This window comes from Homo sapiens, chromosome 11, assembly GCF_000001405.40.
Source record: "Homo sapiens chromosome 11, GRCh38.p14 Primary Assembly".
In the NCBI taxonomy this organism is placed as follows: Eukaryota; Metazoa; Chordata; class Mammalia; order Primates; family Hominidae; genus Homo; species Homo sapiens.
Genome location: NC_000011.10, coordinates 78,001,067 through 78,015,323, shown reverse-complemented (window position 1 = coordinate 78,015,323; position 14,257 = coordinate 78,001,067).

Below are 14,257 nucleotides of genomic sequence, written 5' to 3'. Positions count from 1 at the left end.
AGACTGGGCAATTTACAAAAGAGAGAGTTTTAATGGACTTACAGTTCCACGTGGCTGGGGAAGCCTCACAATCATGGTGGAAGGTGAAAGGCATATCTCACATGACAACAGACAAGAGAGAGCAAGTGCAGGGAAACTCCCCTTTTTAAAACCATCAGATCTCATGAGACTTATTCACTATCACGAGAACAACACGGGAAAGACCTGCCCCCATGATTCAATTACCTCCCACAAGGTCCCTCCCACAACATGTGGGAATTCAAGATGAGATCTGGGTGGGGAGACAGCCAAACCATATCACTGTCTCTACTAAAAATAAAAAAATAGTTAGCCAGGTGTGGTGGCACATGCCTGTAGTCCCAGCTACTTGGAGGCTGAGGCATGAGAATCGCTTGAATCTGGGAGGCAAAGGTTGCAGTGAGCCAAGATCTCGCCACTGCACTCCAGCCTAAGTGACACAGGGAGACCCTGTCTCAAAAAATAAATAAATAAATAAATAAAACCAACTTGGAAGTCCCAGGCAAGCTAGAATGAGTACTGCCTACCCAATCCTCTCTCGCTTTATTTCTTTTCCCTTTGGGACACCTCTTCTGTGGTGACAGATCTGGAAGTGACCTCCTACTCAAGAGAGACCATGTGTACCTATAAGAACCTGGCTTTGCCTCCTAATGGGATAACCACTGTGTCTAGCCAGACCTTTCACAAACCACTGAATTTTTCACTTTGTGATACCTTCCCCTCCTGCAGTGTCATGTATATTTCAACCAATGTCCAGAAACTTTTCTTTTGGGTTAGAATCTGACTCCTTGAGGATACTTTCAGTTTTCTGTTCCTTGCCATTTCTTCAAAAGGCTGAGCAGCTGTCTCTAATACTTACAACTGACAACAGTAATTCATCCCATCCCTTTGAGAGCTCCGGGTTTGGGCCTGTGGGGTTGCTCCTATGCCCAAGTATTTTAAATATATTGTCCCTTGCCCTTGAGAAAAAAGGTCTAGTCTCCATGGTATGAGAACTTTCTAGGCCAGGCATGGTGGCTCACACCTGTAATCCTAGCACTTTGGGAGGGTGAGGCAGGAGGATTGCTTGAGCCCAGGAGTTCAAGACCAGCCTGAGCAACATAGTGAGACTCTGTCTCTATTTTTAAATTTTAAAATTAAAAAAATAAAAGAACTTTCTGGCTCCTCCTATTGCTAGAATCTCTCTGAGTCTCAAATGATAATAAAAAAGTCTCTTCCAACTCTGGTAAAACCACACACCTGTTCTCCCTGAGAACCTTACCAATCCCTTTATAGTTGTCCAGGTTGTATAAGGCAGTATGAAGAGCAATGGTTCTCAACTTTGGCTGCACATTAATTAGAATCACCTGGGATAAGTTAAAACCCTCCAATGTAGGGCATACCCAGGCAACACCTGAAACAAATCAGAATCTCTAGAGGTGGGGCCCAGGAAAGAATATTTTTTAAAGCTCCTTCAGATGACTTCATTGTGCAGTTAAGGCTGACAACTGCTGTAGAGTCTCATTAACTTCAGGCCAATAGCAGTTCACTGGTCGACCCAAACCAGGGGTGACCACTCCTCTTCATTGGTATGGACCCCATTCTAATTACCAACTTGTTCTAATCTATGGTGTGTATCAGGGCCAGGACTAGGCTTCTCGCTGACCTCACTTTAGTCTTGCCCTGGTGCAGATATACGTGATTACATGAGTTTTAATAAACTCAGATGGGGAAGGGTGCAGTGGCTAACGCCTGTAATCCCAGCACTTTGGGAGGCCGAGGCAGGTGGATCACTTGAGGTCAGGAGTTCAAGACCCACCTGGCCAACATGGTGAAACTAAATTTTCTACTAAAATACTCTACTGAAAATACAAAAAAATTAGCCAGGTGTGGTGGTACATGCCTGTAATCCCAGCTACTTTGGAGGCTGAGGCAGGATAATCACTTGAACCCAGGAGATGGAGGTTACAGTGAGCTGAGATCATCCCACTGCACTCCAGCCTGGGCAACAGAGTGAGACTTTGTTTCAAAAAAAAAAAAATCTCAGATGGTACTCCAAGAGGGATATTTCATCTGCTTATGAGTACAGGTGTTCATATGTTAATTCCCCAAATAACTTTTCCCAAACTTTTTATTTGGAAAGTTTTCATATACACAGAAAAGGTAAAAGAGTAGTATATTTAATTTTTTTCTTTTTTGAGACAGGTTCTCACTGTGTTGCCCAGGCTGGAGTGCAGTGGCACCATCTCGGCTCACTGCAACCTCCGCCTCTTGGGTTGAAGTGATTCTCCTGCCTTGGCCTCCCGGATAGGTGGAACTAGAAGCGTGTGCCACCACGCCGAGCTAATTTTTAAATTTTTAGTAAAGATGGGGTTTCACCATGTAGGCCAGTCTGGTCTTGAACTCCTGACCTTAGGTGAGCTGCCCACCTTGGCATCTCAAAATCCTGGGATTACAGGCATGAGCCACTGCATCTGGCCCACATTGAACTTTGTACCTAGCTCCTCCAGTTATTACTATTTTGACACATTTATGCGATCTTTCTCTATACACATGCATATATACATTTATAATCGTTCGCTGAACAATTTGAAGGTAAGTTGCAGATATTAACATCCCTCCACCTAAATACTTCAGTTTACATCTCCTAAGAATAACACGATTACCATTATTTCTTTTTTCTCTCTCCTTCCTTCCTTCTTTCCTTCCTTTCTTTTTTCTTTTTTTTTTTTTTTTTTTTTTTTTGAGTCAGGGTCTTACTCTGTCACCCAGACTGGAGTGCAGTAGGACAATCACAGCTCACTCCAGCTTTGACCTCCTGAGCTCAAGCAATCCTCCCACCTCAGCCTCCCCAGTAGCTGGGACTACAGGTGTGTACCACCATGCCTGGCTGATTTTTAAAATTTTTTGTAGAGATGGGGTCTCCTTATGTTGCCCAGGATGGTCTCCAACTCCTGGGCTCAAGTGATCCTCCCACCTCGGCCTTCCAGTGTTGGGATGACAAGTGTGAGCCACCACACTCAGCCCACATTATCACTTCTTTAAAAATTAACAAATCTAGGCTGGGCATGGTGGCTCACGCCTGTAATCCCAGCACTTTGGGAGGCCGAGGCTTGTGGATCACTTGAGGTCAGGAATTTGAGACCAGCCTGGCCATATAGTGAAACCCCATCTCTACTAAAAATACAAAAATTAGCCAGGCATGGTGGTGTGTGCCTGTAGTGCCCTCTACCTGGGAGGCTGAGGCAGGAGAATTGCTTGAACCTGGGAGGTGGAGGTTGCAGTGAGCCAAGATCGTGCCATTGCACTCCAGCCTGGGCAACAGAGAGAGGCTCTGTCTCAAAAAAAGAAAAAAAATTAACAAATCTAAAATATTACATGTAATGTATTATCTATTTTGACAATTGTTCCACAAATGTATTTTATGGTCTTTTTAAAAAGTCCAATCAAAGTTCATGCATTACACTTGGTTGTTAGGTTTTCTTCAGTTCAGAGATTCTCACCTTGGTCACATTTTGGAATCAATCAGTCAAGTAGCCTTAAGAAATATGGGCTCCATCCCTAGAGACCTTAATTTAACTGTTTTGGGTGTGGTCTGACCATTGGGTTTTAAAAATCTTCCTCAGGCATTTCTAAAATTCATCAAAATTTGAGAAAAACAGCTTTAGTCTCTTAGTCTACAACAGTCTCCCTTTTTTACTTTGATATTGATCCAAACTTACTTGATGCACTAAGTCCATATCTACTTGGCCTAAGAACTTTGACTTCCCTCTCCATCAAAGTCTTTTTCAGCTGCTTCTGGGAGTCCTTGGGATTGGTGGTGGTGTACTTGTAGTGTGAATCATTCTTTGTTCCAGCCTTTTTTTTTTTTTAAATCATTACCTTGCTCCAGGCTAATCAGTACCACTTGGCCCATTGTTCAAATTGCTGCATTTCCCGGATCATGATTTTCCTAGGGTCTATGTAGAACTACCATCAATGGACGTTACTGGTGGGATTTTTTTTCCTCTTTATTACTTTGGTCTGAGCATGGACACACCATGCTAATGCCAGGGATAATATGCATCAACATTTAACTAAAGGCTTGAGGATTATATATAGAAAAGTTCCCAACTTGCTATTCTATGTGATTGTTCTGAGCACAAGACCTTTGGTATGTCCTAAGAGGGTCCCATATCGAGCAAGTGGTGTTACAACTACTTCCAGGCTTACCAAAAAACTGCCTCCTTCACCAACTCCAGGGTTGCCTCCACATCTGGCGACACGAATGCTTCCCAGAGTAGCTGTAGGCTGCTTCACTGCTCAATGATAGAACCGCATAGCCCTCTGCGACTTTGACTTTGGGCTTGGTGATGTGACTTGTTTGCCAATGGGACATCAACAAATATGACACAAGCCAAGGCTTCATAAGCATTTGTGCATGGGCCTTGCTCTCTTGGAATGCTTCCACTGCCATAAAAGAAAACCAGGCAATTCCACTGGAGAGGTTATGAGAGGGGGAATAGAGGAGGCTATCAAGCCCCAAATGAACTACCAGATGACCCAGCCGAGTGAGTGACCCCAGGATTGCTCAGTGGAGACCTGCCCGAATTGCAGAATCATGAGTAAATAATGATGTTTTAAACCTCTCTGTTCTATTGATGATTGTAGTTTGAAATAGAAAAATGAAAAATAAATAAATAAAACCCCTCTATGTTTTGGAGTGGTTTGTCATTCACTAATAGAAAATAGATACACTTCATTTTAAGGGACTTCCCCAGAAGTCCCAACCAATGACATCTGTTTACATTTTGTTGGCTAGAATTGTGACATATGGCCACACCTCTACACAGTATACAAGAGAGACTGGAAAATGTAATTGCTTTTGTGTTTGTTTGTGTGTGTGTGTGCTGGGCATAATACCATCTCCACACAATTGTGTTCTTTAAGAGAGAGGGAGAAAGTGAATATTAGAGATGTAACCGGCAAGCTCTGCTATACCTATACAGAGGTTCAAATCAGCTCTTTTGCTGTTTTCAGTAACTTACTTTTTTTTTTTTTTTGAGACAGGATCTTACTCTGTCACCCAGGCTGAAGTGCAGTGGCATGATCTTGGTTCACTGCAACCTCTGCCTCCTGGACTCAGGTGATCCTCCCACCTCAGCCTCCCAAGTGGCTGGGACTACAGGTGTGTGCCACTACGCCTAGCTAATTTTTCTATTTTTAGTAGAAATGGGGTTTCGCCATGTTGCCTAGGCTGGTCTTGAACTCCTGGGCTCAAGTGATCTGCCGCATCAGCCTCCCAAAGGGCTGGGATTATAGGCATGAGCCACTGTGCGCAGCCAAGAGACAGACATTTGAAGAAAGCTTATAATGTTAAAATTAGGAACAAACAAATGGCCAGGCACGGTGGCATGTGCCTGTGGTCCCAGCTACTGGGGAGCCTGAGCCACGAGGATTGCTTGAGCCCAGGAGGTGGAGGCTGCAGTGAGCTGAGATCACACCACTGCACTCCAGCTTGGGTGACAGAGTGAGATCCTGTCTCAAAAATAAATAAATAAATAAATAAATAAATAGATTAATTAATTAAATTAAATAATAGGAAGAAACAAAAATAACAGAATGTTTCTTGGAGGAAAGAGGATATGGAGAGCAGAACTTCAAAGCAATTGTGATAAATATCCCTAGAGATGTCCCTTTTTGGGCAAAATGGAGTAACAGACACTGGATTTACCCTTCTACCTGAAACAACGAAAAACTGGACAAAATATGTGAAACAACAGATCTCAACACATTGTACATTAGGCAACTAAGGACAAGGAACTCAGAGACAGGGAGCAAATGAGATAGGTCCTATGATTACTCCAGCTTGCTGACTGGAGAAGATATTCAAGGCCTGGTGCAGGGAGGGGAACCCAGGCAGAGACTGGGAGTTACCTTGAATTGAAGAGAAAGATCTGGGAATCCCAGGAAGCCAAACAACAAGAGTTTCAAGGCAGAGTATCAGAGAAGAGAGGACTCCACAGAGAGAAGACTCTGGAGATCTGCATGAGGTCCCTCTTGAGTATTCAGTGCCGTACTCATCAGTGCACATATGCGAGGAAACCACCCAAAGCTGGGTAGAGAAAAGATTAGTAGGAACAGTGTCCAGAGATCAGGACCAGGAAAAGTGCATATTCCCAACAGCCAGAGAGAAAGACCTTATAATTCACAGGGACTCAGAGTAAAAAGGTCTTGCATTAGCAGTGGAGAAAATTTACCCTAAATTAAATACTGTTCTGGTTCTACTTAAAGCTTAAAAGCAAGCAGGGCCGGGCGCGGTGGCTCACACCTGTAATCCCAGCACGTTGGGAGGCTGAGGTGGGCGGATCATTTGAGGTCAGGAGTTTGAGACCAGCCTGGCCTACATAGTGAAACCCTATCTCTAATAAAAATACAAAAAATTAGCCAGGAGTGGTGGCCCATGCCTGTAACCTCTGTTACCTGGCAGGCTGAGGCAGGAGAGTCATTTGAACCCAGGCGGCAGAGGTTGCAGTGAGCTGAAATCACACCACTGCACTCCAGCCTGGGCGACAGAGTGAGACTCTGTCTCAAAAAAAAAAAAAAAAAAGAAAAAGAAAAAAAAAAAGAAGCAAGCAGTGAAAGAATCAAACTTTTCAAGTTACTTAACCATGCCTATAAAAAAAGCTGAGGAGTTTGTCTAGGACTATAATGCTTGCAAAAAAAGTGGAAAAATACAGCCCACAGGAGGAAAATAATTAATCGGTAGAAACTGATCCAGAAATTATGATGATAGATGATAAACAAAACCAGAGATGGTAGAAATAGTAGGCAAAGACTTAAAACAGTGGTTGTAACCCTATTGTATGTGTTAAAGAAGCTAGTGGAAAGATTGAATATATGGAACAGAGACATGGAGATATTTTAAAAAGACCTGGCTGGGCACGGTGGCTCATGCGTGTAATCCCAGTGCTTTGGGAGGCCTAGGTGGGCAGATCACTTGAGCTCACTTGAGCTCAAATTCACTATTATTATGTTGCCTGGGCAACATAATAAGACCTTGTCTCAACAAAAAATTTTAAATTAGCCAGGCATGGTTGTACCGGCCTGTAGTCCCAGCTACTCGGGGGACTGAGATGAGAGGATGACTTGAGCGCAGGTTGAGGCTGCAGTGAGCTGTGATCACACCACTGTACTCCAGCCTATGCAACAAAGTGAGACACTGTCTCAAAAAAAAAAAAAAGAAAAAAGGCCAGGTGTGGTGGCTCATGCCTGTAATCCCAGCACTTTGGGAGGCCAAGGCGGGTGGATCACTTGAGGCCAGGAGTTTGAGACCAGCCCAGGCAACATGGCAAAGAAACCTGTCTCTACAAAAAATACAAAAAAAATTAGCTGGATGTGGTGTCAGGCACCTGTAATACCAGCTACTCAGGAAGCTAAGGCAGGAGAATCACTTGGGAGGCAGAGGATGCTGTGAGACGAGATTGTGCCACTGCACTCCACCCTGGGCAACAAAGCGAGACTCAGTCTCAAAAATAAATAAATAAATAAATAAATAAATAAATAAAATGGAATAAAAAGTACTTGTGGCAGCACCTGGGACTTAGAAAAAGCTCAATCAACATTGGATATTAGTCCAGGCATATCTCACAGATACTGTGAGTTCAGTTTTAGACCATCACGATAAAGCGAATATCACAATAAAGTAAGGCACATGAATTTTTTGGTTTCCTATTGCGTACAAAAGTTATGTTTGCACTATACTATACTCACTGAAGCTGAAGTGTAGTGGCTTGGGGTTCATGGCTCACTGCAGCCTTGACCTCCTGGGCTCAGGTGATTCTCCCACCTCAGTGCCCCCAGTAGCTGGCACTACAGATGCAAGCCACCATGACCAGCTAGTTTTCTGATCTTCGGAGAGACGAGGTCTCATTATGATGCCCAGGCTGGTCTTGAGCTCCTGGGTTCAAGCAACCTTCCTGCCTTGGCCTCCCAAAGTGTTGGGATTACAGGCCACTGGACCCAGCCTATACTATAATCTATTAAGTACACAGTGGCATTATGTCTAAAAAACAATGCATATACCTTAATTTAAGAATACTTTATTGTTAAAAATGCCAACCATCATCTGAACCTTCACTGAATCATAATCTTCTTGCTGGTGGAGGCTCTTCCTCCATGTTGATGGCTGCTGACTGATCAGGATGGTGGTTGCTGAAGGTTGGAGTGACTGTGGCAATTTTATAAAATAAAACAACAGAGAAGTTTGCCACATCAATTGATTCTTCCTTTCTTTCTTTCATTTTTACATATTTTTTGAGACAGGGTCTTGCCCTGTTGCTCAGGCTGGAGTGCAGTGGCGCAATCATGGCTCACTGCAGCCTCGACCTCCTGGGCTCAAGCAATCCTCCCATTTCAACCTCCTGAGTAGCTGGGACCACAGGTGTGTGCCACCACACCCAACTAATTTTTAAAATTTTGTAGAGATGGGGTCTTGCCTTGTTTCCCAGGCTGGTCTCCAACTCCTGGGCTCAAGCAGGCCTCCCACCTTGGCCTCCCAAAATGTTGGGATGATAGGCATGAGCCACCGCGTCCAGCCAATCATTTCCAACTTTTGATTTAAAGTAGGAGATGTGGGACTCTTCCTTTGTTTATTTTTATTTTTTTGGAGATGGGGATCTGCTGTGTTGCCCAGGCTGTAGTGCAATGGCACAATCTCAGCTCACTGTAGCCTCAACTTCTTGGGCTCACATGACCCACCCACCTCAACCTCCCAAGTAGCTGGGACCACAGGCATGTGCCACCACGCCCAGCTAATTTTATTTTTTGTCTCACTATGTTGCCCAGGCTGGTCCAAACTCCTGAGCTCAAGCAATCCTCCAGTCTTAGCCTCCCAAATTGCTGATATTACAGGCGCAAGCTACCATGCCTGGCCTGGGACTCTTCCTTTCACTTGAGCACTTAGAGGCCATTATGTAGGGCTATTAACTGTTCAATATTATTTTGTGTCAGGGAATTTCAATATTGTTGTATCTCAAGGAATAGGGAGGCCTGAAGAGAGGGAGGGAGACAGGGCATTGCCAGTCAGTGGGACAGTCAGAACACACACATTTATTTATTGTGTTTTCCGTCTTATATGGATGTTGTTTGTGGTGGCCCCAAATAATTAGAATAGGGACATCAAAAATCACTGATCACGGATCACCATAACAGATATAAAATAATGAAAAGGGTTGAAATATTGTGAAAACTACCAAAATGTGACACAGAGACTTCAAGCGAGCATATGCTACTGGAACAACGGCACCTGTAGACTTGCTCAAAACACAGTTGCCACAAACTTTCCATTTATAAAATAGGCAATATCTGTGAAGCACAATAAAGCAAATGCAATAAAATGAGGTATGTCCGTATTATTACTGTTCTATGGCGATGTCAACAAGGTGTGGCATAATTGAAGGAGCACTGGAATTCGACCAGAGACCCTACTTTGTTTTTTTGTGAGACGGAGTCTCGCTCTGTCACTCAGGCTGGAGTGCAGTGGCACGATCTCCGCTCACTGCAACTTCCACCTCTCAGATTCAAGCGATTCTCATGCCTCAGCCTCCCGAGTAGCTGGGATTACAGGCGCTTGTCACCATGCCCGGCTAATTTTTTTTTTTTTTTTTTTGTATTTTTAGTAGAGACGGGTTTCACCGTGTTCGCCAGGCTGGTCTCGAACTCCTGACCTCAAGTGATCCACCTGCCTCAGCCTCCCAAAGTGCCGGGATTACAGGTGTGAGCCACTGCGACTGTCCGAGACCTTACTTTGAATGGCAGCTCATCTATTACAGTGTTCTTAAGCAAGAAACTCTGGGGGAGTTCTTGAAAGGGGATCTGCTCCACAAGGTTGTGAGAGTGCAGTGGGTTGAATGGTGGTCCCCCAAATGCTATGTCCACCTCATAATCCCCAGAATCTATAGATGTTACCTTATTTGGAAAAAGAATTTTTGCAGACGTAATTAAGTTAAAGATTTGAAGATGAGGAGATTCTCCTGTATTATCTGGGTGGATCCTAAATCCAGAGACAATCTTTCCTTATAAATCCTTATAAGAGGCCAGGTACAGTGGCTCACACCTGTATCCCAACACTGTGGGAGGCTGAGGGGGAGGATCACTTGCATCCAGGAATTCGAGACCAGCCTAAGCAACATAGCGAGATCCCATCTCTATTAATAAATAAATAGCAAGGCATGGTGGCGCACAGCTGTAGTCCCAGCTACTTGGCAGGCTGAGGTGGGAGGATTGCATTAGCCTGGAAGTTCGAGGCTGCAGTGAGCCATGATCACACTGCACTCAGGCTGGGAGATAGAGTGAGACCCTGCCTCAAAAAATTAAAAAATTAAATAAATAAAAATGACCACAAGCTCAGGAATGCTGTGGCAGCAGCCAGAAGCTGGAAGAGGCAAGGTACAGATTCTCTCCTAGTGCCTCCAGAGAGAGGACAGTTCTGCCAATAAGTGAATTTTGGACTTCTAGCCTCCAGAACTGTGAGACAATAAATGTTTGCTGTTTTAAGCTACCAAGTTTGTGGTTGGCAGCCTCAGGAAACTAATACAGAGAGTAAAATCAAGTAACATATTTGAAAATATCCAGCACATTTTAGGGCTCTGATATTGCTGAGTCAAAATTTCAAGGCTAAAAGCAATGTAGGGCAAGGGCAAGGCCAAAGTCACGGTGTCTCTTACAGACCCTTCTGGGAAGTATCAGGGCTGTACATCCTTCACATCTTTAAACAGAGAGAGCAGCCACTATGCCCATCTTTTTGTAGAGCAAATGTTTAAACTGAAGCCACGTGAGATGGATGATAGCATACATAAAGTTCCCTTGTGCCGGGCATGGTGGCTCACGCTTGTAATCCCAGTACTTTGGGAGGCCGAGGCAGGTGGATCACGAGGTCAGGAGTTCGAGACCAGCCTGGGAAACACAGTGAAACCCCATCTCTACTAAAAATACAAAAATTAGCTGGGTGTGGTGGTGCGTGCCTGTAATCCCAGCTACTCAGGAGGCTGAGGCAGGAGAATTGCTTGAACCCAGGAGGCAGAGGTTTCAGTGAGCCGAGATCATGCCATTGCACTCCAACCTAGGCGACAGAGCTAGACTCTGTCTCAGAAAAAAAAAAAGTTCCCTTGTGACTGTTTCAGAATTTCTTTTTCAATTTTTCATTTTACTATGAGGTCCAAAGGTTTAGTTTTCTGTTTTTTGGTTTTTTTAGCTTGTTTTCTTTTGAGACAGAGTCTCACTCTGTCACCTAGGATGAAGTACAGCGGTGCGATCATGGCTCACCAAAGCCTCAACCTCCCTGGGCTCAAGGTGATTTTTCTGCCTCAGCAGCCCAAGTAGCCAGGACCACAGGTATACGCCACCACACCTGGCTAATTTTTATATATTTTGTAGAGAAGTGGTTTCACCATGTTGCTCAAGCTGGTCTCGAACTCCCAGCCTCAAGCACTCCTCCCGCCTTGGCCTCCCCAAGTGCTGGGATTACAGGTGTGAGCCACCGTGCCTGGCCACAGCTTGTGATTTTATAAGTACTGTATATATAATAAAGCCTGTCATGATCCATAGCTGCTTGAGATATTTACTTTGGCAGTTACCTATCTTTCTTGTCAGACTTAAAATATTGTTTGACTTGACATCAGAGACAACTGTTTACCTATTTACAGTATTGTTAACTTTTGAAGTTTAAGGAATTAATACGTATGGAGTTTTAAATTCAACCACAAAATTGTTCAGAACAGTCATTTTCAAAGAGCATTATAATTCAGGAATCACATCTGTTTGTATATTTTTTTCTTATTTTCAAGGTTGGTCTATGGTTTCCTTTCTTGGTTTTAATATGGCTGACAATTTAGGGTGGACATTCTTGAATGTCTACTTAATCTTTTCATCATGAAGAAATTCAACATTATCAAGAGCCTGGGGAAAAGAGTCCATACTTTGATCAGTAATTACTCCTATGAGATTAGATTTCAAGGCAGTACTTAAGAGATTCAGATATTTTTGTCACCTGCATTTTCACTGGAGACATCCTGCTCCTTAAGATCTAAACAGGATTGCTTAACATCTCAGTTTCATGAGTTGAGGAAAGGTAATGTCCTCCCTAAGTTTTCTGCACATTCCTGGAGTGCTTGTGTTCTCAAGGTCTGTTCTGGTCTTCCACTTCTTCTCCTCATCTGTGTGTCTTAAACCCATTGTTGCTGTTCTACACAATGTTCACCAGATTTAACATACAGGTCTTTAATTTTTTTTTTATAAATGCCACTCCCTAACCTATTTGTGCACACAGCTGATGGTGGAAAATATAGGCAATTAAGGCGAGAGGATTTATAATACAGAACCACAACTCCCAATTGACTATTGGACATATTTATTCTTAATAGTGTGCAAATCATCCCATCACTGGGGACTTTTTACTAGTAGATTGTATTTGTTAACTATTCTCTCTTCTTTCCATTTTCTTGCCATGCTCCACCGTGGGTGGGACTATTCTTCCCTGCCTCACTAACTTATGCCAGCCAATGGAATATGTGTGGAAATGACAGTGTGCCAGTTCCAAACCAAGGCTTTAGAAACACGACAATTCTCCATGAGCCCTCTCGTGTTCCTTCTATTTGCAAAGAGAAGACCATGCTCCAGTTTAGCTACCTCCTTTGTTGCTTGGTTCTAGATTGCATGCATGTTCTTAAGATAATGACTCTCCTCCTAAGCAACTTCCAAACTATTTTATTAAACAAAGGCAATTCCAATACCTCCCCAACTCTCAATCCATAATACAGTTAAGATAACGTACTATTGACTGGGCGCTGTGCTCACACCTATGTAATCCCAGCACTTTATGAGGCCAAGACAGGTGGATCACCTGAGGTTACAAGTTCATTTGACCAGCCTGGCCAACATGGTGAAACCCTGTCTCTACTAAAAATACAAAAATTAGTCGGGCATGGGGGTGCACACCTGTAATCTCAGTTACTTGTTAGGCTGAGGCAGGAGAATTCCATGAACCTAGGAGGCAGAGGTTACAGGGAGGCAGAGGTTACAGTGAGCCAAGATTGCACCATGCCACTCCATCCTGAGCGACAGAGCAAGACTCTGTCTCAAAAAACAAAACAAAACAAAACAAAAAACAAAACATTTTTATCTCACGATAGCAAAACTTTTGGAAATAAGCAGTATTTTTTCTTTTAATACCCTATTCTGAGAAGCAATAAATAGTTTTAAGTCATTATATTATGTCTGTATAATGTAATGTTTTGCTGCTATTAAAATTACATTTATGGATGGCTTAAAATTAAGGTGAGGAGAATGCTCATTTAATTCAATGTAATTTAATTAAATATTTGCTCCAAAAAAGATTTAAGGTAGTGGGACTTACAAGACTGTACAAAAAAGAAATATCCAAAAAGATATAAACATAAGGCCAGGCACGGTGGCTAATGCTTATAATCCCAGCACTTTTCGAGGCCATGGCGGGCGGATCACCTGAGGTCAGGAGTTTGTGACCAGCCTGGCCAACATGGTGAAACCCCATCTCTGCTAAAAATACAAAATTAGCCGGGCATGGTGGCAGGTGCCTGTAATCCCAGCTATTTGGGAGGCTGAGGCAGAATAGCTTGAACCCGGGAGGTGGAGGTTGCAGTGAGCAGAGATGGTGCTATTGCACGCCAGCCTGAGTGACAAGAGCGAAGCTCCATCTCGAAAAAAAAAAAAAAAAGATATAAATTAGGCACAGTGGCTCACACCTGTAATCCTAGCACTTTGGGAGGCCAAGGCAGGAGGATCACTTGAGGGCAGGAGTTTAAAACCAACCTGGGCAACATGGTGAGACCCTGCCTCTACAAAAAACAAACAAACAAACAAACAAATAAAACAATTAGCCGGGTGTGGTGGCACAAGCCTGCTGTCCTAGCTTTTCAGGATGCTGAGGTGGGAGGATCACTTGAGCCTGGAAGGTCAAGACTGCAGCAAGCCATGATCATGTCACTGCACTCCAGCCTGGGCAACAGAGCGAGACCCTGTCTCATATACACAAAAATTACAAGTACATGAATTACAAGAACATTGTTGGTTGCCTACTCATTAATACTATCTCCTCCCTTCCTCTTTCCTAACAGAAAGGCCAAAATAGCAGGCCAGGTGCAATGGCTCACGCCTGTAATCCCAGCACTTTCGGAGGCCGAAGCGGGTGGATCACTTGAAGTCAGGAGTTTTGAGACCAGCCTGGCCAACATAGTGAAATCTT